Source organism: Homo sapiens, chromosome 3 (genome assembly GCF_000001405.40).
Source record: "Homo sapiens chromosome 3, GRCh38.p14 Primary Assembly".
Taxonomy (NCBI): Eukaryota; Metazoa; Chordata; class Mammalia; order Primates; family Hominidae; genus Homo; species Homo sapiens.
Genome location: NC_000003.12, coordinates 14132287 through 14156542, shown reverse-complemented (window position 1 = coordinate 14156542; position 24256 = coordinate 14132287). Strand labels below are relative to the sequence as shown.

Here is a 24256-nt window from a genome sequence, read left to right as displayed (position 1 = left end):
TCCTCTTCTAAATAACATGCTCAACCTTGTCTGTCTGGCCTTTGCAGTTTCAGGCTAAACACATGGACCAGCCTTTGCCCACTGCCATTGGCTTATATAAGAACCACCCTCTGTATGCCCTGAAGCGGCATCTCCTGAAATATGAGGCCATCTATCCCGAGACAGCTGCCATCCTTGGGTATTGTCGTGGAGAAGCGGTCTACTCCAGGTGCGTGAGGCAGCCTGGTTGGCCTCAGGGGCTTCCTGATGGCATGGGATTAGCAGCCTTCTTCCTAGGCAAGGGTTGCTGATGGGAGCTCATCTGACTGGACAGCATTCTCGGGCTGAGCCAGTGTGCGTGTGCTGTGTGTGTGTGATGTGTAGGAGAGAAGAAAATTTGAAAATTAAAACAGGGATTAAAAGAATGGCAGGGGAAAAACAGTTACAGGGAAAATAAAATACAAAGTAGGAAAAATAAAATTTAAGATAGGGCAGTATAAAACACACCCCACAAATATAAGTCAAAAACATACAAAAGGAAGGAATAAAGGATTTGATTATGAAAGTTAAAAGTGAGTGGATTTTTCATGGGTACAGAGCCCTGTTTGGGATGAAAAAGTTCTGGGAATGGATGGTGGTAATGGTTGTACAATGTTGTGAATGGACCTAATGCCACTGAACTGCACACTTAAAAATGGTTAAAATGGGCCGGGCGCGGTGGCTCACGCTTGTAATCCCAGCACTTTGGGAGGCCGAGGCGGGCGGATCCCGAGGTCAGGAGATCGAGACCATCCTGGCTAACACGATGAAACCCTGTCTCTACTAAAAATACAAAAAATTAGCCGGGTGTGGTGGCGGGTGCCTGTAGTCCCAGCGACTCGGAGAGGCTGAGGCAGGAGAATGGCGTGAACCCGGGAGGCGGAGCTTGCAGTGAGCCAAGATCGCGCCACTGCACTCCAGCCTGGGTGACAGAACGAGACTCCGTATCAAAAACAAAAAAATGGTTAAAATGGTGTATTTTATGTGACTGTGTTTTATACCACAGTAAAAAGAAATAGCTAAAAAAAGAGTGGAATAAGAGCAAAAAATGAATAAAATATATATAAAATTAAAATTGAAAAATGTTAATACAATTTTGAGGTAAGAAAAAAATAGAAACAGGAATTTTGAGAAATGGGAATAAAAAGCAAGTAAAATAAGTGATTTTAAAAGACATGGGATGTACAAGACCAAGAAATAGGAGATGTTCTTAATAAATGAGAAAACAGGAAGGTACAGAAAAGAGAAAAAGGAAGCGTAGGGAAACCCACATGAGAGTGGGCGATTTGAGTCCTCCCACTGGGGATGACTTCCTGCTTGTCAGCCCCCCATGGGAGTCATGCTGGACCCTCTCTTCAGGGCTCTGCCCTGTCTTGGAGCTTTCTGTTTGATGTCGGTGGGGGGCATGATGCCCTGGGCAGGGGCAGGGCTTTGCTGTTCTGGGACTTTAGCACCCAGCAGTCAAAGGCAGCAGGGGGCCTGGGCTGCCCTGATAGAGGCTTCCTCTTATGGGTATGTACGGGTAGTCGGGAGAAAGCCTGTTGGGAAGAGAATGCAGGCGTCGTCCAGAGGCACCATGTCAGTGACAGAAGGAAGCATTAGAGGTGCATATTTATTGATTTATTTTTTATTGTGGTAAAATATTTATAAATTTTTTATAATAATTTATAATATTTATAAATTATATATATTTATATATATAAATAAATTTATAATATTTATAAATATTATAAAATTTACCATCTCAACCATTTTTTAAGTGTACAGCCTACAGCATTAAGCACATTCACACTGTCATCCAGCCATCACCACCATCCATCTCCAGATTTCTTTTCCTCTTCCCAAACCAAAACTCCGTCCCCATCAAAAACTCCGAATTCCCCTTCTCCAGCCCTGCACCCACCATTCTCCTTTCTGTCTCTGAGTGTGCCTACTATAGGGACCCATGTAGGTGGAATCATGCGGTATTTATAGTCACATCGTGACTGGCTTATTTCACTTAGCATAATGCCTCAGGGTTCATCCATATTGTAGCATGGGTCAGAATTTCCTTCCTTTTTAGGCTGATACTCCATTGTGTGGGTGGACCACATTTTGTTTGTGCCTTCATCCATCAATGGGCACTTGGCTCGTCTCCACCTTTTGGCTGTTGTGAATTATGCTGCTGTGAACATGGGTGTGCAGATAGCTCTTCAAGATTCTGCTTTCAGTTTTTGTTTGTTTGTTTGTTTGTTTGCATATACCCAGTACAATTACTAGGCCAGATGGTAATTCCCATCATTTTTTTAGGAACCACCTTACCATTTCCACCGCAGCTGCACCCATTTTACATTTTCACCGACAGTCCACAAGGTCTCCACTTTCTCCACATCCTCACTGACACTTGTTACTTTCTGTGTTTTGTTAATAGCCATTTTAACGGGTGTGAAATGGTTAGAAGTTCACATTTATTCTGAGAGGACTGTGTCCATTTCCCTGCTGTTTTCCTTAGGAAGATGTCCAGATGCTGCCTACCTGTCAACCCCTAAGACCCCTTTTTTACCCGCTCCTGTCTGAAGACCACGACCATGACATAATCACTCCTCTGGGCAGTCAAAGATGTTCCGCCCCCAGTGGGAGCATGAGTGGAGCTTTGAGCTCTGGCAGGTTGGTGCTACTGGCAGAAGCGCTGCTCTGGCACACAGGAAACGTCTGGTCCTCCCAGCAACCATGTGCGGTAGAAAGGGCAAGCTCACTGTCCCTAGTTGGTAGGTGAGGACACAGATGCTCCTTGACTTAGGATGAGGTTGGATCCCCATAAACCCATTGGAAGCTGAAAATAGGATATCCTAAGTTGAGAATGCATTTAATATACCTAACCTGCCGAACCTAACCGGACCTCATGTAGGTGGAATCATACGGTATTTATGGTCATTTTGTGACTGGCTTATTTCACTTAGCATAAAGTCCTCAAGGTTCACTCCTGTTGTATGTAGCATGGGTCATAGCTTAGCTGAGCCTCCCTTAAACGTGCTGAGAACACATTAGCCTACAGTTGGGTAAAGCTGTCTAACACAAAGCCTATAATGAAGTATTGAATATCTCATGTAGTTTATTGAATACCGAAAATGAAAAAGAGAATGGTTGTATGGGTACTTGAGGCACAGTTTCTCCCAAGTGCATATTGCTTTTGCATCATCATAAAGTTGAAAAATCTTGAATCAAACCACTGGACTTTGGGGACTGTCTGTACTGAGGCTCAGGAAGGTAAAGTGACTTGTCCAGGTGGCCCAGCCAGGAAGTGGCACAGGCAAGGTTCAACCTCCATCCATTGTGCTGTGCTGAAATTCAGCCTCAGATTCCTCTGTGGGTAAGGGTCTGAACCTGCACTAGGAGGAAATGGGGTGCCCTTGCTCATTGGAGCCGCTCCCTGGACAGAGTGAAGGGGGTGCAAACTAATGAGATGGGCGTGCCTTATTAAAAATGGCTTGGCAAGGGAGGGGTTGAGCCTCATTGGAAAGTAGATTTGCACGGCTTTGGTGAGCTCTTAGCTCGGGAGGAAGAGTGAAGCCAGAGGAACTTTGCCTGCAGGAATCATTTGACTGTTCCATGTGCAGGTGTCTTGATTCTGTGATAGCTTATTAGCTTATTATAGTTGGCTTCTCTGCAGCCTTCCTTTGGGTTCACTGCCCCCTCCTGGACACTTCCCTCCCCCACATGGTGTTAACAGCAGATCAGAGCCTCAGCAGGTGTTCGCTTGGTGGTGGTAGTAAACGTGAGTGTGCCTGCGCACAGCGGCCTTTACCCCATCCTGATAGTCTGCAGCTGGAGCTCTCACAGGCTCTGGACAGCAGAGGAGAAGAAAACCTATGAAGGGGAGGAGTGGTGGAGGCAAGGCACAAAGGCTGCAGATTAGGGTTTGTAAGTGGACACATCCCCCAAAAGACAGGCAGTCCACGTTCAAGGCTGTTTGCCTAGCACAGCTTCTCTGGGCCCCCTAGGAGCTCGGCCTGCTCCAGGGTGGCTGAACCTGAGGAGGGAGCCTGCAGGGCTGCGCTCTCCACTGTCCCGCATTCCCGCAGTGGGGCTGTGGACTGAGTTACCTTTGTGTCCTGTGTTGGTTCCACAGGGATTGTGTGCACACTCTGCATTCCAGGGACACGTGGCTGAAGAAAGCAAGAGTGGTGAGGCTTGGAGAAGTACCCTACAAGGTAACTGGAGCTGGGGGGTCCCTGTGGGGAGTGGTGACACAGGCCTGTAGCTGAGCGGGAGAGCTGGGGGCAGAGAAGTGATGATGAGCCTCCCAGTCCTGCCCAGGATCCTGATCAGAAATGTCTCACTTTCCCGGCTTGAGCAGGATTCAAGGAGGAGAGAAACATTTAAATTGTCTTATTAATAAGACATTTGTAAGAAATGGATCTTCCAAAACACAAAAGAAATCTAGGCCAAAAAGTAGGCCTCAGACTCCTGTTGTGAATTCAAAGGTTCTACAGGTTGGAATTGAGTTACTGGGTCCTGGGAGGTCAGAGCCCTGCTTTATAGCAGCACGTTCTCCAGTCAGATTGCCCTTCTGTTTGGCAGTTCACTGAGCATTTTGCATGTATGTGATCTCTGTTGCCTCAAAAGCCATAGGAATTGGCATTATGATGCCCATTTTACAGATGAGAAAACTGAAGCTCAGGGCAAGTGACTTGTCCAAGTCCCCACAGTTAGTAAAATGGCAGAGCAGAGCCCAGGTGAGAATCCCAGGCTCTGCCTTAAAGCCAGTGCTCCTTTCACACTGTGCTGCGGCACTGTTAGGCTGGTTGCTCTTGAGGAACACGAACCGAGCGAGGTCCCACAGAGACTATTCACAGGACACACAGCTCCGTACGACCGGAAGTGTACAGTGGCTGATCACAGAGACCATTTACTTCTCATCAGACCCCAGGAGTCCTTGGGGGTTGCAAGACTCCGGGAAGCTGAGTGGGGAGTGGAGGGGCCTCCGCTTAGTGGGAAAGGCTGCAGGCGCTGGTCACAGTCACTGCCAGCAGCAGGCTGGAGTGGGCGATGCCCCCTGCCTGGGCCTGCAGGGTTGCTGAGGATTTTCTCTGCACCATCTCACCTGTCTTTTGTGCTGGAACCAGCATAGCAGTGTTCAGTTGAAATGTAACGTGAGCCACACATTTAAATTTTTTAGTAGCTACATTAAAAACCAAAAACAGGTGGAATTTTAACATTAAAATATATCCAGATATATCTAAAATACTATTTCAGCAGTAAGAAATATTTTAAAGTGTTGATGAGATATTTAAATCCATTTTGTTCCTAAGTCTCTCTAATCTTCTGTGTATTTGACTTTCTGTACCTTAGTTCAGACCAGCCACGTTTCAGGTGTGCAGTGGCCACACGTGACTGGTGGCTGTCATGGTAGCACAGTTCTGGAATCCCAAATCTCTCAAATTCACCCCTTGTTCTGATCCCCACCACCCCAGCTCCTGCCTCAGTATCTTTTGCTTGGGCAACAGCCACAGCCTCCTTCCCAGCCTGAATCCATTCCCCTGTCAGTCACTAGGCTCTTTCTGTGCATCTTGGCCATCCTTGTCCCACCTTGGCCAGCGCCTTTAGTCTGAGTCCCGCACCCTCCCCATGGTGCACAGTGATGTTCTGGTGCTCACTGCCTCTGCATTCCAGAGGACTTAGGCCCCAGGTCCCAGTGTTCTCCCACCTCTGTGCCCTGTGGGGTCCAGCCCTGTTCTCTTGGGCAACCCCTTGCCCCTTTAAGCCTCTGCTCAGGCGGGACCTGTTTTGAGCAGCCTTTCTTGCCTCCACTGTCCTCAGGGCTGGGCAATGGCTTGCCTCTGAGCTCCTGTTCCACCCTGTACTCATCACGCTGAGTCGTAGCTCTGTCTCTTCCCCTGCAGGAGCCTGAGCTCCTAAGAGCAAAGACTGTCCTCGCTCCATCCCTCCTTCATGACTGGGTCATGGCCTGGTCTCCAGGAGATCCCAGTGGAAGTTTACTGAACAGTGTGCTGGGTGAATGGCTTCTCAGAAAGGGACGGTTGTCAGAACTCAGAGTCCCTCTGTCCCTGAAGTGGTGACAGAGAGGGTGCGCCCAGAGATCATGGCAGGAATGGACATGAGAGCTCGCAGGCCACCCCCAACCTGGGGAATGGCTTTTCACATTTTTAAAGGGTTATAAGAATGAGAAGAATAAAGAATATGTGATGGAGGCCACGCATGACCCTTTACAGAACAAGCTTGTGGGCCCCTGCACTAGAGGAAGTCTGTATGCTGAGGCCCAGGGGCCAGCCCTCAGCCGCACGCCCATGCCTGACTCCTCTAAGAGTTACGTGACTCTGTCCTTGCCTGTCCTGCGCCCCTCTCACCACTTCACTCCCCAGGGAAGATCTTGGCCTTGGCCACTGCACGCTGTTGGGGAGCACACTGGGAGTCCTGAACTGTCAGTGCTTTCTAGGGCGTGTGAGCAGACATAGGTTATATGTTGAGACACAGGCTCTACTGATGGACAGTTACCTGAATTGTAAATCCTGGTTCTTGTCACTTACCAGCCATCAGCTCTTAAGTGACTTTGTCTCTCAGTCTCAGTCACTGCTATCAGTGATGACAGCACAGAATATAGGCTAGTGGATGAAAGTGTGGGCTCTGGCCCTTACGAGCTGTGTGACTTTAGGCAAATCATTTACCCCGTCTGTGGTGTTCATCTGTAAAATGGAAACAATAATAAGACCTACCTTGTGGGTTTGTTGAAAAAATTAAATAATAACATATAAAGCACTGAAGATAGGCTGGGCGCAGTGGCTCATGCCTGTAATTCCAGCACTTTCGGAGGCCAAGGCAGGTGGATCATTTGAGGTCAGAAGTTTGAGACCAGCCAGGCCAATATGGTGACACCCCATCTCTACCAAAAATATAAAAATTAGCTGGGCATGGTGGCGGGTACCTGTAGTCCCAGCTACTCAGGAGACAGGCACGAGAATCACTTGAATCCGGGAGGTGGAGGTTGTAGTGAGCTGAGATCACACCAGGGCACTCCAGCCTGGGCAACAGAGTGAGACTCCGTCTCAGGGGGATAAAAAAACAAAAAACACCGAGAATAGTGTCTGGGACAGAGAATGTTCCATAAATGTTAGCTAGTGCTTGTAGTAAGAAAAGGGGAGCAGCCGGGCACGGTGGCTCACGCCTGTAATCCCAGCCCTTTGGGAGGTTGAGGCGAGTGCATCACCTGAGGTCAGGAGTTCGAGACCAGCCTGGCCAACATGGTGAAACCCCCGTCTCTACTAAAAATACAAAAATTAGCCGGGCGTGGTGGCAGGCACCTGTAATCCCAGCTACTCAGGAGGCTGAGGCAGGAGAATTGCTTAAACCCAGGAGGCAGAGGTTGCAGCGAGCCAAGATTGCACCACTGTACTCCAGCCTGGGCGACAGAGCGAGACTCTGTCTCAAAAAAAAAAAAGGGAGAAAAAGCACCCCAGCTGGTAGGTGTGTTCTGAGGGTTCACCAGGTACCAGGCATGCGGCACTGAGCATGGTGCCTGGCCCGGTGCTGAGGAACTGGATGCCTTTGTTGTAAACGGTGGCCGTGTCCTCTGGTGCAGATGGTGAAAGGCTTTTCTAACCGTGCTCGGAAAGCCCGACTTGCTGAGCCCCAGCTGCGGGAAGAAAATGACCTGGGCCTGTTTGGCTACTGGCAGACAGAGGAGTATCAGCCCCCAGTGGCCGTGGACGGGAAGGTAAGGGCAGCATCAGAAGGGCTCAGGACCAGGCCGCCTTGTTCCCCTGCTGGCCAAATGCTGACTTGCTCACCCGACACAGGTGCCCCGGAACGAGTTTGGGAATGTGTACCTCTTCCTGCCCAGCATGATGCCTATTGGCTGTGTCCAGCTGAACCTGCCCAATCTACACCGCGTGGCCCGCAAGCTGGACATCGACTGTGTCCAGGCCATCACTGGCTTTGATTTCCATGGCGGCTACTCCCATCCCGTGTGCGTGAGGGGCCTTCGATGGAGGCTAAACACAGGGATGGGGAGGGGTGGCTCCAGAGATGGGGATGGAAAGCTGGCATGGGGCTGCTGGGAGTTGAGGCCTGGTGGCTCCAATTTTCAGGATGTTACACTGGATTTGCAAAGTCAGTGCTTTACCAATTCTGGCTTCCCTCCAGAGGGAACGGAGCCAATGAAACTGGCATCGTAATGCTGGATTAAAACGTTCTTCCCAGGTTTAGGGACTCACAGGCTAGTGAGCAAAAAACAGTCAGCATCTTTCCCCGGCAGCTGCCTGGTTAGTGAGCTCTGTTCCATGATGGGTGAGGCTGGATAGGGGCTTTCACCCCAGCTTTCTTCGGCAGAATCTGGGGAGGAAGAGGCAGTGCCAGCTTCCACAGGCCTGCCTTCTGCACGGAGGATGTGGGACACTGGCTGACCCGCGACATCCTTCAGGACCCCTAGTGCTCAGATGTGGCCCACTGTCTTCCACAAACTGGGGAGGGAGGAGAGGCAGAGCAGGCAGCAGGTTCGAGGGTTGACATCGCGTTGTGTCCCCACAGGACTGATGGATACATCGTCTGCGAGGAATTCAAAGACGTGCTCCTGACTGCCTGGGAAAATGAGCAGGCAGTCATTGAAAGGAAGGAGAAGGAGGTAAGCGCATATGCAGGACTGAGGGACAGCAGAAGCGGGAAGCAACACTCAGCGGGTGGCCTCTTCCTTCCCCAGGCCGCCTCCGTGTGCTCCCAGGCTCTTCCCAGCCCTCTCTGACATCATGGCAGGCACCCGAGGGAGCGAGCACTGAATACAGCAGGCTCCTGCCCACCCCGCAGACTATCACTGTCCCTGAGGAGCCTGGGTCCGGGCTCTGGGGTCTACTGCCCCTGCTGCCCACACCTGCCTCTGTCTTGAATTGCCTGTGTCCAGGTTCTGGAAGACCTCACCCACTAAAGATTTTGGAGTCAGTAACGATTAAAAAGTTATCTGTTTTTGTGGCTTTCAGGTATAGTATATCACTTTGTAAATCAGATCAATTTTTTGGAAGTGAGACTTGGTGTGAAGGAGAGGCTATATTCTAAAGTGGTGTATATATCTGTCTTTACATTCACAGTTTCCATCTTAATATTTTTCCTGAAAATGTCAGTGCTTAACACTTTTCTCCCACTTCATTTTTGCCTGCAGAAAAAGGAGAAGCGGGCTCTAGGGAACTGGAAGTTGCTGGCCAAAGGTCTGCTCATCAGGGAGAGGCTGAAGCGTCGCTACGGGCCCAAGGTCAGTGCAGGTTCTTTGCAGAGAAGACAAGCTCAGGGTCAGTTTCTTGGAGATGCAGCTCAGAAAGGCCTGGCCCAGATTCTGCCCCAGCCTCAAGTCAGGGATAGCTTTGTGTTAGGACACCTCAGTCTTCTGTCTCTAAGGCCGCTTGTTTTTACCTTGTTGGGAAAGGTGTCCCTGGAGTGAGGCCTCAGCTGGCTCTTCTGCCCCAAGCCCTGTCCCAGTGTCCCCGTTTCTACTGTCCACATGAGCAATGCCATGGGTCTGATTTGGCGCTGAACACATAGGGAGGGCCAAGTGTCCTGCATTTGGTGCACCCTTCCGCCTTCCAGTGTTCCCAGTGCCTGTGACCATGCTGCAGGCCTGCAGTGGCCCGCTCAGTACCTCTCTCACAGCACCTGCCATGTGCCAGGCCAGGCTTGGACACAGGTGTGAATTTGACATGCAGCCCTCAAGGGGGCCCCTCCCTGGGGCAGATGGACCCTAGGCCCAGTTACATGGTATAGTCAGTGCTGTGTCAGACACAGCAGAAACTGCTCTGGCATGTTTTGTTCCCTCTCTCCAACCCTCTGTGCTGCCTGTTTGCCTTTCAACATTTTTTTGTCACGCTCCTCATTCCAGTCCCTCTGGTGGAGAAAAGCCCTTCATCTGACTTTATGTTCTGACCAGCTCCTTGCCGCCTTCTCCATCCAAACCCTCCCTAGCCATCCCAGCTGGCAGGGAGTGCCGCCTCAGATCTTAGGGCTCCGAGGGCTGAACTGTGCATCTTGCCCGTTCAAGACATCATGTGCTTTGGTCCAGAAATGAGGTAGCAAATGCAAGGCACGAATCACAGGCATCCCCAGATGAGGCAGTGTGCTCCTAGAGGGCAGCTTCCTGCCCAGCCATCATCCTTGTGTTCCCCTGCACTCAGCTCGTAGCAGGTGCTCCAGTGTCTGCTTGGATGCACCCCAGGCTGGGACGGCTCAGTAAGAAGGGTCTGGGCTCTCTCCCTGCCCTGTCCCATGCCCTTGTCCTCCCAGAGTTACACAGCTTAGGGCAGGCTGGGAACTTGCTGCCTCTTCATGGGGCTTCCTGGTATCTGATTACTAACCCTCGCCTGTGTCCTCCCACCACTGCCACCTGTCCAGAGTGAGGCAGCAGCTCCCCACACAGATGCAGGAGGTGGACTCTCTTCTGATGAAGAGGAGGGGACCAGCTCTCAAGCAGAAGCGGCCAGGATACTGGCTGCCTCCTGGCCTCAAAACCGAGAAGATGAAGAAAAGCAGAAGCTGAAGGGTGGGCCCAAGAAGACCAAAAGGGAAAAGAAAGCAGCAGCTTCCCACCTGTTCCCATTTGAGCAGCTGTGAGCTGAGCGCCCACTAGAGGGGCACCCACCAGTTGCTGCTGCCCCACTACAGGCCCCACACCTGCCCTGGGCATGCCCAGCCCCTGGTGGTGGGGGCTTCTCTGCTGAGAAGGCAAACTGAGGCAGCATGCACGGAGGCGGGGTCAGGGGAGACGAGGCCAAGCTGAGGAGGTGCTGCAGGTCCCGTCTGGCTCCAGCCCTTGTCAGATTCACCCAGGGTGAAGCCTTCAAAGCTTTTTGCTACCAAAGCCCACTCACCCTTTGAGCTACAGAACACTTTGCTAGGAGATACTCTTCTGCCTCCTAGACCTGTTCTTTCCATCTTTAGAAACATCAGTTTTTGTATGGAAGCCACCGGGAGATTTCTGGATGGTGGTGCATCCGTGAATGCGCTGATCGTTTCTTCCAGTTAGAGTCTTCATCTGTCCGACAAGTTCACTCGCCTCGGTTGCGGACCTAGGACCATTTCTCTGCAGGCCACTTACCTTCCCCTGAGTCAGGCTTACTAATGCTGCCCTCACTGCCTCTTTGCAGTAGGGGAGAGAGCAGAGAAGTACAGGTCATCTGCTGGGATCTAGTTTTCCAAGTAACATTTTGTGGTGACAGAAGCCTAAAAAAAGCTAAAATCAGGAAAGAAAAGGAAAAATACGAATTGAAAATTAAGGAAATGTTAGTAAAATAGATGAGTGTTAAACTAGATTGTATTCATTACTAGATAAAATGTATAAAGCTCTCTGTACTAAGGAGAAATGACTTTTATAACATTTTGAGAAAATAATAAAGCATTTATCTAAAGATTTGGCTCTATATTTTCTTTCAGATTTTTTTTTTTTTAAGGGGTCTTACTGTCTTGCGCAGGCTGGACTCCTGGGCTTGAGTGGTCTTCCTGAGGGCTTTGCCTCAGCTGGCCCTCACAACCACCGTGTGTGGTGGAAAGGCATTGTTCGGGAAACAGTCCCAGCTCCTCAGGACTGCAGGCACCCACACACCACTGCCGTGCCCAGCTTCTTTCAGATTTAAGTCGGTAATAACACCCAGGTGACAGAGCAATGTATTCATATGTTGAGACAGCATGAAAGAGTCCATTTTGTTTTCATGGAGGCTGGAAATTCATTACATATGGAATTCTTCTGTATTTAGTGAAGAGATGTTAATCTTTGAGAGGAGCCATTAAAAATCGGAGTCACTTTTATCCAAGGGAAACAAACAAAACACTTGAGTTATGACTCATATGTGGCAAGAGGCTGGCTGGAACCTCTTGTTGAGAAACAGACTGGGGTTGCTATGGAAACTGGTCTCACACTTCCTCACCAGAGCTCGGCCCTCCTATAGAGGCAACTTGTTTTCTGTTATTTTTTTTTTTAAATTATTTTTTGAGACAGGGAGGGTTCCACTCTTGCCCAGGCTGGGGTGCAGTGGTGTGATCCCAGCTAGTGGTGTGATCCCAGCTGACTGCAGCCTCAAGCAATCCTCTCAGCCTCCTGAGTAGCTGGGACCATGGGTATGCACCACCACGCTTGTCTTTCTGGGGTTTTGAGATGATGGCATTGCCATGTCTCTGCAGAAATAACTTCTTCAGGCATATGTCAGCTACAAGGAGGCATTATTTAAATGAAACAGTAGGTTCTGAGAAACAGAAGAGTAGGTTTGGGAAAGTTCTCACTCACGTGCTTGTAAAAAATAAAGCAAACTGCTAGCATCAGAGTGGGCAGTTAGCAGCCGCCTTTCAGAACAGGAAGCAAAATGAATGAAAAATTAATGCCTCATGTGTCAGGCATTCTATGGGCTTTGTCTCATTTGGCCCTCACAACAACTTTGTGAGGTGGACAAGTGTTATTCCCATTGTACTGATGAGGGAACAGACTCAAATCGTTGATTTACCCAACATCACAGCCAGTATGTAGCAATCTTTGGCTCAGAACTCAGGTCTCCCGTGTCAACTCAGGATGCCTCTGGCAGTGGAGCACACTGCTGCCCCTTCCACTTTTTCTAGCACATTCTGAAGATGCATGAAGCCTGAGTCATTCACTTTAAATCAAGCCAAAACAAAGTGGGCTTCAGTGTGGACTTCTGAGTGCTAGATACTGAGTTGCCCTTAAAAAAAAATTAACTTATTTTAAGCACTGAAAGCTCAGATTTCCACAAAATTCAGTTCTCAATAAATCCTATGGCTGAATTCTTTACAGACATTTTGGAAAGAATGCCAAAAAAAAAAAATCTGAAACTAAAAATAGGATGTTTGTTAAAGTCCCACACCAGAAGATAATTTAGAAATTTATTACAAAACTTTTAATAAAAAATACAATGATATTACAAATTTGGTTTTCCAAAGCTTTCAAATTTTTCTTAACATTATCTTTCGTTTTAAGAACACTTTTGAAGTCGGCAGTTATTTAAAATCCTTACTAGAAAAAAACCAAAGCCCAAGGATTTTGCATTTAGTCATCATCTAGGTATACAGCGTGTTTTCCGAAAGCATCCTTTAAGAGTTTGGAGATTTGATGAAATTGCTCATGTAATAAGCAGTTAGTGAATACTATTGAATCCTAAACCCAGATAAGTCATCTTGGGCTGGCTGTGTTTTTCATGTGAAGAAACTCATTTATAGCACAGGCACCCCAGGCCAATAGAGATGATTACAGATCTCTGGTTTCAGAAGTTCTGACCCCTTATTCAGCTACCAAATACTTAATTGCTAAAGGAATTACTCCCAGCAGGCACAAAACGGTTTCTGAATATGACAGAAAAGGTACACAAAGAATCATTTAAGACATCCTGGTTACAACATACTTTATCTTTAAAAGGGTGTGAGAGTAGTTGGGGAACTTAGAAATTCTGTGACTTAGGTGTGGGTGGATCTTATTTAGGAAGACTAAAGCTATGGACACAACACGTGAAAGAACCACTCAGAAGCAGCCCTAGGAAGCCCAGGTGCCCACATCGAAAGCACTCCCAGGTGAAAGCAGCCAGGCAGGCGTGGGCATTGTACAACCAGCCTCAGGCCTCAGTTCTTGATTGTGGTTGACGGGGCGTCACCATGAAGGAGCCCATTTAGTATAAAGCTTCCAACCTTTTCTCTTAATCGTTTCTTTAATCTTTTAAACCATCTTCAAGTGCATAGGGGAGTTTCCGATGCCAGAGGATGAAAGCAAGTGCTTTCTCCACCCTCTCCTCCCAGAGTGAAAACAAATCCTTTTGCTGATACTTGTTTCAAAAGCATCCATTGTAAAGCTTCTCAGTGACACAAAATACTGAGAGGTAACTTTTTATCAATCAAACCACATACCCCAATTTAACACCTTTCAGTGCTCTGAATTCAACTGACAGACTAAAGGGTGTTTCCTGTAACAGTCTGAAATATTAAGTGTTTTTTTTGTTTTGTTTTTAAATCTTATTTCAGAAAACTTCCTCTTGGGGTAGGAAAGTACACATGAAGCAGCAAAGTAACGAAGAAAAACTTAAATAGGGCCTTCAGAGATCCCACACACTACAAAGATTCTGCCAAGCCATAAGATAAGTGTGAAGCCCAGTATATGTCCAGCTTTTCTCCTCAGGACATCTTCAGTGTTTCTTCTCTTTTAAACACCACATCAGGTTCTAGCCACAGACTTGTGTTTTGGGTGTGCCTGCTTTGAGGGGTCCATGCCCAGTGTGTCTGCTGGTGACCCAGGACTCAGCAGTAATGACTAACGGCCGCCCTTCAGGATCACAGATGTGCTTGGTGGTGGTGGCAAAGCATGGCACTTGTGTGCAGTGATGAGAAGCAGCACACGGCAAGGCTGAGCCCTTTATCAGCAGGCCTCCGTAGAGCGTGTCTGCGTTGTCAGCTGCCAATGGGCTGAGTGGCTGGCCGTACCCACTCAGTCCAAGAGAGGAAGGAAACAGCAGGAGAAGCTGTCAGCTTGCCATTCATGAGCTGCTGCTGCCCACCAAAGCTGCTTACTGGCAAGAAGAGATGTGGGGAAGACATGAGCTGGTGAACACCAACCTGGTGCACATGCTGCCAAGTCTGGCCCCTGAAGAGGAGAGGGAGTGCAGAGTCCAAAATTGACCGGGGCTCCTGCTCTGGCATGGAGCTGGGTCAGAGGTGAGAGAGGACCTGGATCCTAGGGCTCACGCAGGTGTCGGGCGGGTGCCAGGGTCTTTTCACTCCAACTTTTTGGCTGGCACCCGTGTCCGAGCAACAAGGATGGGCACAAGGGCCAGGCCGGCAATGAGGAGGGCCCACAGGGGTCGGTAGAAGAGCCAGCCAGCCGCCACGGTCAGCAGGGTCAGCGAGGTGGCCACACAGAAGGCAAAGGCTTTCAGGCCAATGTTGACCAGGTCTCGGAAAACAGGAAACCAGTCCACTGTGGAAAGGAGAAAGGTGATGAGGTGCCACCTGCTCTACACCTCACCAGCTCAGCAGATCTCTCCTGTCCCTAGATGAGGATGGGCCCATGTTGCTACATGCATGAGGAGGGGAGAGGATCAGTGGGTGGAAGGCAAGGAGCTTCGTTCTGAAAGCTAAGGGAGCACAGGAGCCTCTGCTATGAGCTGCGTGGTTGGGCACATTGCCTAAGCCACCCACTCTACCCTGATCCAGGGGAGAGGATGTAGCAGTGCTTTGTAAACTTTAATACTTTATGTGGAGAGTAGTCTGAGGCCAGTATAAAGACATTTGCCTGTAATGCTAGAAATAACCTGGGTCCTGCACACTCATACAAGAGGCTGTGGGTGGAGCCTCCTGAAGGTGCCTATTTGGGCCTCTCAGCCATTCCTAGAGGTGTTGGTTCATTCATGCAGCAGGCTGTTACTAATGATTTATGTGCCCAGCACTGAACCAGCAGGTGCTAGAGGAAATAAATTAGCCTAAGCATTGGCCTCTCCTCAAGAATCTCACAGACTATTGGTCCAATAGGATAAAGCCCAGAATCCAGCTAAATTCATGAGGAATTACCCTATTCTTGCCTTGTGTGACCTCTCCAGGTTGGCATTCCATAGCTGATGTCCACTCAGGGAATCTTCGCTCAGTTCCCAGGAGGCCACCAATGGTCTGGAATCACTGGGTTTGCAGAGCAAGCCCTGGTGCCCCACCATGCCTGCAGCACACCCTGCAAGCCACTACCTGGCCTCATCCTGATCTGTTCCCATACAGCACTGCTACTCAGCCCTTATAATAAGCAAAGTTCATGTTTCTGAACGTTGCCTGTGTTAGGCACCATGTGCACCATCTCATGAAGCACTCATGCCCACCCTGTAAGGTAGGTACTCTTCTTAACTCCATTTTACCCACAGGGTCACTGAGACTCAGGGAATTAAGAAACTCACCACCAGTCCTCCTGTTAGAAAGTGCCAGAACCAGGATTTGAACTCAAGACCGTATGGGCCCAGAGCCTGGGCTCTGAGCTGTTGCTCTAAGTCTTGTCTGTCTCTAGCTGTGGAGTCTTACACACGTTGGTATTTATCAAACGCATGGGGAACTGTGTGCTTCCCTGCTGCGCTCCCAACTCTCCCCACCCACCCTGGGGGTCCCTCCACACTCTAAGTCTGTCCTGAGTCTGGCGCATTCCAGACGTAGAGTGAATTGGGATCACAGACATCAGAGATCCAAAGAAGGGCCCACTGAGACAGACACGAGGAAACCAAGGCTCCAGAAGGGAACTGGTCTCCCCAGGGTCACACAGGCAAGAAAGAGGATTCCGTTTAAATGCTCATCTCTCGCTAATGTGCCCACCACGTCACTGGTCTTTCTGAGCACAATTCAGCTGTCCAAAGAAAGGCTCAGGGAGAGTCCTTCCCTTCCCGGGCCTGTTTTCCCAACTGTAAACAAAGGAGGTGGTCCCCCCAGCTCAGACAGCCCAAGATGTGCAGCCAGACCTCTTCTGACTTGTGCATGCTGAGTGGGGAAGAGGTTTCTGTTGGCACCCAGAGAAGACTGATGCAATCATGTGACTGGAAGGGACACACACCAGGGAAAGGCTTGGATGGAGAGTCCTCCGAGGAACCCCATCCTCCTGGGCCCAGAACGCACTTAGTCACCCTGGGCACTCAGATCCCGAACCACGCTGGGCCACAGGTCTCCTACTGGGCTCACTGGTGCCAACCTCAGGTCAAGGAGTGGCCCAGAACTCTCCTTCATGCTCCAGACTTGCTGGCTGCCCAAATCTAGCCCAGGTTTTGGAGTGAGGAAGGAAGCATGAGAGTTTTGGGTGTTTCCTATTTGCCACATTTCATAAAACTCTGCATGTAAGGGGTGAGGTGACTGAAGCTGAGATGGGAAGGGAACGGCCAAGCATCCAGAGCTTGGACGTGACAGATTTCAAATGCAGGTCTGGCAGGCTCCCATGTGGTATTCAATTGTGGATCAAAGGAATGAGCAAATGATCGAGCCAGCAGATGGACGAACCTTCAGGCTGTGGAGTGAGACCAGTGCCCCAGAGTTGGCCCCACCCAGCCTGGCCCCTGGCAGCTCCTGCCCTCAAGCCTGCCTTCCTCTGCTCCCTCATCCCAAGGCTATGGAGCGGGGACACAGAGATGAGCCAAATGCCTGGTATCTGCACAAGGGCCATCCCATCAGGCTGGAAGGGCTGAGATGATGCGACAGGCAGAGGAGGCCCTTTCAGGGTGCAGGAGGGAGGGCAGTGACCCACCCCAACACCTACCCAAGGTGTAGAGGATCCGTGTCATAAGGTTGAGGCCCATGAACATGGCCATCCAGCCAGCTGCCCGCAGGCCCCAGGTCTTCATGGAGTTGCTCCTTAGTTCTCTATGAAACACCTCCTGCAGGACAAGGTGGGGGCAGGTCAGGATGCTGAGGGCCAGTGGCGTACCCAGTCGGCAGGGCAGGTCCTGAGGGGGCTGTACCAACTCGGGAGCTGTTGGCCATTTCTGAACAGGCCAGACGGAGTGGGGGCAAGCCTCCTATAGGGCTAAGTCCTTCTGCCCATCTGGCAGAGCACAGGGCAAGGCATGAGATCTCTGTGGAACGTACGGGCCTTCCTCAGCTCAGAGCCTGCCAGCACCTGGAGCCCTCAGCCCACGGTCTCACCTGGAATGAGCAGGACCCTGCCCACCACCCCTGAGCAGGTTGGAGGATGTCTGCTGGGCAGCATGCTCTGCGCTATGTGTGTGATCTGTTTAATCTCAGAACCTCTCCACATGGCTTGGGGACACTGCACCCTCCTTCTCAGGCTCCATCGCTGTCGCTGCCCCTCTTCCTGTCCATTAGATGCTGCAATTCTTTAGCTGCTTCAGTCCATACTCTCTCCCCGGACATCCCATCTGCTTCCTTGGCCTCCACATGCCGTGACCCTCCAATTTAAAGCTGCAGCTCTGGCCCTCTCCCGGGCCTCACAGCCCTGCAGCTCCCACCACCTCCACCACCTCCTTGACATTTCCACTTGACATCTCAGCCTGTCTAGTGCTGACACTGGCGCCTTCTCCATCTCAGCACATGGCACACCCACCCACCCACTCACATCTATGGGAAAGACATGGCTCGCTCCTCCCCTACCACCCCATCCAGTCCAGGCCACATATTCCCGAGTCTCTTACCACTGTCTGCCCGCAGGAGCCTCACTGGCCCTGCTTCTATCACCCACTCTGTGTTCTCCACACAGTCACCTGCCAGAGCCCTGCCACACCCCCCGGACACCGACCCTGCTGCCAGTGCCCTGACCCTGCTGGCTGCTGTCCCCAGTCCAGGTCAAGTGTCCTCTCGCCTGTGTATCTGCGCGTGGGTTTGCTCTGCCTACAACGATTGCCTGCAGTCATGCCTGGCCAGCTTCCTACATATTCTTTTGAGCTTTGCTTGAACCCCATTTCTTCAGAGGGCTTTCCCTGACCCTCTGATCTGAATCGGGCCCTCTCTCAGAGTCCGTAACAACAAAAACAGGTCACATTTATCACTCACCATTTATTTGATACTGTCCTAAGTGTTTTACAAGTATTATTTAATTCTCAAATTCACTCAGTGAGGTAGGAATACTTACCTCCACTTTACAGATGATGAAACTGAGGCTCTGAGAGAATAAGTCATGTGCCCAAGGTCTCACCTCAAGCAGTTAACTAAACGCTACATTTCCAAGAGCAGGGAGCATGTCTGTGAAGTACCTGGTGTTCAATGAAAACTTGCTGAATGAATGAATAATCCTCAATGACCAAACCAGTTAGGGATGATGTGACTATTACTAATAGTACTTAAACATCTTCCCCTTCACAAATGAGGAAACAGGCTGAGAGATCAGCACCAGCTCAAGGTCCTGTAGCAGGTGGGAGGCAGTGCCAGGGCCGTCTGCAGTGTGCCTGCTTGGGCAGCTGTACTCTCCTGCCCCTGGGACTGGAATCGGGGCATCCTGACTTTTGCCCTGAGCTGCCTGCCTGGCTCTGGGCCTTTTTTCTACTTGGCAGAGACCCCAGACCTTGTGTGGGGGTGGGGGCTGGGCTGGGGGAAGACAGGGCTTTGGGGCTGCTAAGCAGCAGGAGACCCAGGGGGTAAGGAGGCCGCCTGAGCATCTGCACTGCAGGGCCTTCCTTTCTGGGGCATTACCTAAGCCATGGGCCCCATCCACTCCTCTCTGGAGGGGCGGCTGCGTGAGCTGGGCCTCAGCCCTGGGAGAGAGAGCAAGGCCTGGACTGGGCCTCCTAATTTTAGAAACTCGCTGGGGACCCTCAGCTGCTGGTGGAAGGGTGACTCATGGCCTTCTAGGCTGGGAGGTGGCAGCCCTACCCTGAGGTTGGTAACTGGGCTCCTGGGCAACAGCCTGACCACACCCTAGCCCTGGCCAGGTACCAGGAGTTGGTGAGGCCCAAGCACCACCACAAGCTGGAGGCTAATGGGACAGATGGCTGCTGAGGATCTAATAATAGGAACAAAAGGTCACAGCTAACCCCTGATGCCTGTCTGCTGCCTTGACCCTTTCTGGCCACTCTGGAATGAAAACCCCAGCAGTCCTGGTTAGGGCAGGTATAGAGTGCCCCACCAGGGATACCTGTGTTCATCAACAACAGAAAAACTAAAGACTCAATTCTTCTGCTGCAGAGAAGGATTGCCTGCCTAGAGAAGACAGGCTAACTTTTAAGGCACAGAACTGAACTAATCAGCACATCTTGGCACCCCTTCTCCTTGGGACCCGGGGTAGGCATAGCCCTCCCTATTTACAATGGGAGAGGGATACTCAGGTAGCTGAGGCCCAAAACCCTTCCCCGCCCTCCTAATGTTCTGGAAGGACACAGACTTTGGTGGAGCCCCCCCACCCACTCCCTCTCCCCGCTCTGGGCTGTGGCCACAGCACTCCGGGTGCCCCCTTAGAAGGTGAACCCTTTCGTGCCCAGACTGGGCTGTTCTTGCTGGAACTGACTGATCACTGATTCTTCTAGGGTTAACCCCTTCTCGTCAGCAAAACTCACTTGTCAGAGGCCCTGCTTGATCACTGCAGAAACGGATGTTCTACTCTGACGTCCACTGGTATCAGAGCACCTGTTCTCCTCTTTCCAACACTCGGCACGATGCATCAGTACTTACGAGTTTCTGTCACTCTCACTCCTCTACCGGACAGTCTGTGAGGCACAGTGAGTTTAGTGCCTAGCACAGTCCTGCACACTGAGGGTTCATGACAGACTCAGCATCCACAATCCAAAAACCCAAATGCTGAAGTGCTCCAAAATCCAAAACTTTCTGAATGCCAACATGACGCCACTAGTGGAAATCCCACACTTGACCCCATGTGACGGGTTGCATTGTATAAAATCACCTTCAGGCGATGTGTACAAAGTATACATGAAACATAAATAGATTCTGTGTTTAGACTTGGTTCTCATCCCCAAGAGATCTCATTATGTATATACAAATACCTGCAAATCCAAAAAAATCTGGAATCTGAAACACTCCTGGTCAAACACTTTGATGAGGCATACTCAACATTCCGCTATTTCTTCTTCTTGCCTCATTCACTGGCTATGACCCCTGGTAGTGTGATCTTATTAAATAACCACTGGAAGGAAGGAAGGACATGCTTGTTCCTCCACCGTACGAGTAGGGCACAGCACTCACCTCTGCTGAGAAGTCCCCGTGGTGCAGGAGCAGTAAGGTATCCCCAGACTTGGTGGAGAATGGGACTAGCTGGTCACCCCGCTGCCGGGCAATCACAGTGACCTGGTCAGAGGACCTGGTGTTAGAGCTGAGGGGTGACCAGCGGGAGACACGCCCACGAGAGCCATGGCCCACCCTCCCGGGACTGGGTGCCGGCTGGGGAAGTGAGCACAGAAACCCTGGGGCTTCTCTCTCTATACATCCATCTGGGATGCATCCACCTCTGCAGCTCTGGCTGAGCTGCTCCATTCAAAGCTCCAGGCATTCAAAGCTCTTGGGCAGTGCGCAGAGCAGGGGATGGGGCAGGACTGCACATAGGCCAGGAACGCAAGACCAATTATTGACAGATCAAAACGGGCTTGGGGAGAGGGTCTGTGTGTGACTGGAACACCTGTCATAAGGTGCGACTATGAGACCCCTTTTGAGCTGCCCTTCTTAACGTGGGGTCCATGGATGGCTGTGGGGACATGGGAGCTCTGAAACTGCTCAGAAGCGTGCCTGGCTGAGAGTGTGTGCGAGAGTGTGCCTTTCCCCAGGGAAAAGGGGGTCCAAGCGCTCCTGACATTGACCAAGGTGTCTGTGTCCAGGAAAGTCGTGAGGCTCTGACTTAGTGTCTGCCCCTGGGAAGCCAGGTTACCACGTGAGCTGGGCCCAGGTCAGGGTCATCGCCGCTCAGTCCAGCATAGGAAAAGGAGACACGCAAGTCTCCCACCTGGGGGTGGAAGAGAAGCAGGGAGAGTGAGGAACGGAGTAGCTGGCCCAGGCCCAGGTCCAGGATGCCTCGGCTACGCCCCTCAGGCTCTTCTCCCACCTCCACACCCGTGCCCAGGCTGTGCCGTCACCCAGAGGGCCTCTCCCACTCAGCTGCACTTGGCCAAGTGCAGCTGTGCATGCGACTGAACTGAATCTGCCTGGCGCAGGAACCTGATCCTAGCGCCCTGACCCTCCTATTTGGAGAGCCCAGGCCTCTCCGCACACCTCTGGATACTTGGGATTTTCGCTGTGGTAGAAAAAGTCTCCACGGCGAATGATGTCCACATGAGGGTCCTCCAGCTTGGATAGGCTCAGGGACTTGAAGTTGTCGACTTTGTCGATGAGGCCTGAGGGGACCAGAGTGGTTAGAAACCCAGGGGACCAGGTGAAAACCTCAATCTGCAAAGTCCCTGGCCTGACCCCCTTCCACTGCACCCCTGGAGCCTGCACACGTGGCACTCCCACCTGCAGTGCCTCTTTCTGACTCTGTCTCGTCCACGGCTTCCCCTGGGTTAGACCATCTCCTCCAGGAAGCTTTCCCTGTGCCCTCTCCCACCAAGTCAGAGTGACCACAGCACTGGGAGTGGCCTTAGCCCTTTTCCCTTCCATCAAGGTTACGGCCATCCACGTCCAAGCCTGACTCACCTCCTGGGTTGAGAGCTACTTGAGGGCAGGCCCAGCTGGCACACAGGCACCATCCAGCAACAAAGCACACAGAAAGCGGCCAGGCCAGGCCCAGGATCATCCAGCCTCCCCAGGACTATCTGGGCCCTTGGTATCCTCTCCCACCTTCATGGGTCAGGCCCAGGAACAGAGCCCCAGGGTTACTCTGGCCCATGGTGCCACCTTATCCCTTGCAAGCTTCTCTTTGGAGTCAATGGGGGATGCCTGTGATAAGCTAGTGCCTTCCTGGGACAGGTGGAACTCAGAGAGGGGGAGCCCTAGGCTGAGAGCACTGAGCCACCACATGTCTACTACTAGCCGGAGTCTGCTTGAGGAAGGACTGTCTCAGCAGAGTCTACTCAGCAGACACCGGCACGCAGCAGGGTGAGGATGCATGCCTGAGTCATTCTCTGGAACAACCCAGATTTCAGAGGAACCTGGTAGGATGGAGTGGGGTGGGGGTTTCTACGTCAGCCCTTGCTTCCTGGGGATTCGCCTTCCCCTGGCCCCCAAAGCATGGTGCTGGGAAAGGTGCAGACTGATCCTGTGCCTTTAGCCCTCTGAAGGCTGAGTACTGGGAGCTCCGGCCCTAGGGGGGCCTTGTGCTTCTGGCACGAGCTCCTCTGGAGAGGCCTGAGACTTACCTGACGAGAGGAAAAACCTGCCAATTTGGACAAAGGGGGCTGTTGCCATGAATGACTCCACTGCCATGGCACTGTGGGAGAGAGGAAGCTGTCAGAGATGGGCACCGGTGTGGGAGCTGCCCGGGTCCCTTTGGGTTGTTTGTGCTGGGCAGGGTCCCCACCCGGGGGTTCCTGCAAGTCCAGATTAGCCCAGGCGCAGCAGACATCTTGTCCTGTCCACCCCCAGGGGCCCTGTGCCCCCTCCCCTGGGCTGAGCACCCTCACTCTGTCTCCTGTTCCCCGGAGCTTCCTACCCTCTTGCCTAGACCCCTGCCAGCCTGTCCTGCCCCACCCACTGCTGTCAGATGTATCTTGCATGGACTTTACACCCCTCACTAGCCCCTCCCAGAGCATTCCATCCCAACCATCTTACTGGCACAGCCCAGACCATTGCTGAACAAGGCCTGCTCTCTAGCCACACCCAAGTGTTATGCCCGCCTCACCACTGGCATGCCGTGGAGCTAACCTCCCTCTGCTGAAATCCTGAGAAGCCTGAACAAATGCCGCTGCCTCTGGAAAGCCTGTCCTGATTGTCCTCCCACCCATGGCAAACCATTAACAAAATGCTTCCCCGGCCCCGTGTGTGCAAATCCCCTTAGACGCTTAGTGCAGGCCTTATATTTGTGACTTGTTTGCGGGGAGCTTGTCTGGGGTCAGGGGAGACAAGTCTCTGTGTTCCTGGTGCCCAGCACAGGGCTTGGTCTCAAACCCATGTCCCACATTTTCAACCCACGAGGCAGGATTAACTCAATCCTGTTATTCAGATGAAGAAACTGAGGCTGGAGACCTGCCAGTGTAGACAAAGCTGCACTCAGGCCTTGGGCCTGGCTCTCACCTGGGGTTTTTGTGGCCAATCTCTCGGTCGAAGTTTTTGCTGTTGATGATTTCTGACCTCCATTCAGTGTCTGCTCAGGGAGAGGAATCAACTCAGAGCCCGGGTAGGAGTGGCACGCGGCTGAGACCCACCAGCCCAGCTCCTCCTATCTCACAGCCAAAGGGGTGGGTCAGGGAGCCTCAATGGATGGGTGGGAAAGCAGGGCTCTGAAGACTTGCACCCAGGGATCCTGATGCCTGGTGCTGAATCCTTCCCATGGCCCCACCAACAGCCCTGCTGTCCAGCCACCACTGTGGGCCCCCACCATGGGCAGAGACCACGTAAGGGGCCCAGCACTCACTGTAGGAATACCTCGTCTCCTTCTTCACCTGCCCATCCTCGGTGTACTCCCTGCAGGGAAAGCAAAGCAGCCACGGGGGTTAGCCTCGTCGCCCCAGGCAGTCTAATCTCTAAGCATCTGAGCAGGAAGCAACCTCAGGGCTACCAGATCAGACTCCCCAGATACGGCAGATGCCTTCTCTACACCAGCCCCAAGACAGGGCACTCACTCCTGACAGACAGCCAGCTCCTGCCCTCCAAGGCGCTACCTGGAGGAAAGCGCTCTCCCATCCTGAGCTGAAATCTGCCCGCACTGGCCTTACACCAAGGG

The 24256-nt window shown here is 51.5% G+C and overlaps 2 protein-coding genes and 1 long non-coding RNA gene across 18 annotated transcripts in view, besides 5 other annotated features; 1 reads left to right on the top strand and 2 right to left on the bottom strand.

The window, feature by feature from the left end:
• Positions 1–11396, top strand: part of XPC (XPC complex subunit, DNA damage recognition and repair factor) — a 33455-nt gene extending 22059 nt beyond the window's left edge. For 4 of the 9 annotated variants that reach the window (NM_001354729.2, NM_001354726.2, NM_001354730.2 and 1 more), the window contains 7 exons: positions 48–208; positions 4127–4208; positions 7595–7729; positions 7812–7981; positions 8542–8635; positions 9164–9253; positions 10384–11396. In NM_001354729.2, coding sequence (NP_001341658.1) covers positions 48–208; positions 4127–4208; positions 7595–7729; positions 7812–7981; positions 8542–8635; positions 9164–9253; positions 10384–10602 — 951 coding nt within the window. In that variant the 3' untranslated portion in view covers positions 10603–11396. Of the gene's footprint in view, positions 1–47; positions 209–2509; positions 2665–4126; positions 4209–7594; positions 7730–7811; positions 7982–8541; positions 8636–8710; positions 8971–9163; positions 9254–10383 lie in introns of those variants that run through there. The other 5 variants (NR_148951.2, NR_148950.2, NM_001354727.2 and 2 more) reach the window with 4 other exon arrangements.
• On the bottom strand, positions 3092–6981 carry XPC-AS1 (XPC antisense RNA 1). The gene is made up of 2 exons (XR_001740603.2): positions 6941–6981; positions 3092–6701 (listed from the first exon to the last, which is right to left on the bottom strand). It is a non-coding gene; the product is annotated as an XPC antisense RNA 1 (long non-coding RNA).
• Positions 5188–5688: an enhancer, noted in NCBI's record as "H3K27ac hESC enhancer chr3:14192355-14192855 (GRCh37/hg19 assembly coordinates)". NCBI's record gives its function as "activates a minimal SCP1, AML or CMV promoter by ChIP-STARR-seq in primed H9 embryonic stem cells {active_cell/tissue: H9 hESC(primed)}" and the evidence as "EXISTENCE:reporter gene assay evidence [ECO:0000049][PMID:30033119]".
• Positions 7306–7990: an enhancer, noted in NCBI's record as "H3K27ac-H3K4me1 hESC enhancer chr3:14190053-14190737 (GRCh37/hg19 assembly coordinates)". NCBI's record gives its function as "activates a minimal SCP1, AML or CMV promoter by ChIP-STARR-seq in primed H9 embryonic stem cells {active_cell/tissue: H9 hESC(primed)}" and the evidence as "EXISTENCE:reporter gene assay evidence [ECO:0000049][PMID:30033119]".
• Positions 11654–11763: an enhancer, noted in NCBI's record as "active region_19499". NCBI's record gives its function as "activates an Ori minimal core promoter by ATAC-STARR-seq in GM12878 lymphoblastoid cells {active_cell/tissue: GM12878}" and the evidence as "EXISTENCE:reporter gene assay evidence [ECO:0000049][PMID:35858748]".
• Positions 12109–12796: an enhancer, noted in NCBI's record as "H3K27ac hESC enhancer chr3:14185247-14185934 (GRCh37/hg19 assembly coordinates)". NCBI's record gives its function as "activates a minimal SCP1, AML or CMV promoter by ChIP-STARR-seq in naive H9 embryonic stem cells {active_cell/tissue: H9 hESC(naive)}" and the evidence as "EXISTENCE:reporter gene assay evidence [ECO:0000049][PMID:30033119]".
• Positions 12420–12714: a silencer, noted in NCBI's record as "tiled region #1736; K562 Repressive non-DNase unmatched - State 14:Gen5'". NCBI's record gives its function as "represses a minimal TATA promoter and a strong SV40 promoter by Sharpr-MPRA in K562 cells {active_cell/tissue: K562}" and the evidence as "EXISTENCE:reporter gene assay evidence [ECO:0000049][PMID:27701403]".
• Positions 12863–24256, bottom strand: part of TMEM43 (transmembrane protein 43) — an 18629-nt gene continuing 7235 nt past the window's right edge. For 3 of the 8 annotated variants that reach the window (NM_024334.3, NM_001407278.1, NM_001407280.1), the window contains 8 exons: positions 23948–23997; positions 23608–23677; positions 22734–22804; positions 21652–21773; positions 21311–21385; positions 20635–20736; positions 17246–17363; positions 12863–14950 (listed from right to left, as the gene is read on the bottom strand). In NM_024334.3, coding sequence (NP_077310.1) covers positions 14748–14950; positions 17246–17363; positions 20635–20736; positions 21311–21385; positions 21652–21773; positions 22734–22804; positions 23608–23677; positions 23948–23997 — 811 coding nt within the window. In that variant the 3' untranslated portion in view covers positions 12863–14747. Of the gene's footprint in view, positions 14951–17245; positions 17364–20634; positions 20737–21310; positions 21386–21651; positions 21774–22733; positions 22805–23607; positions 23681–23947; positions 23998–24256 lie in introns of all 8 variants that reach the window. The other 5 variants (NM_001407274.1, NM_001407276.1, NM_001407275.1 and 2 more) reach the window with 5 other exon arrangements.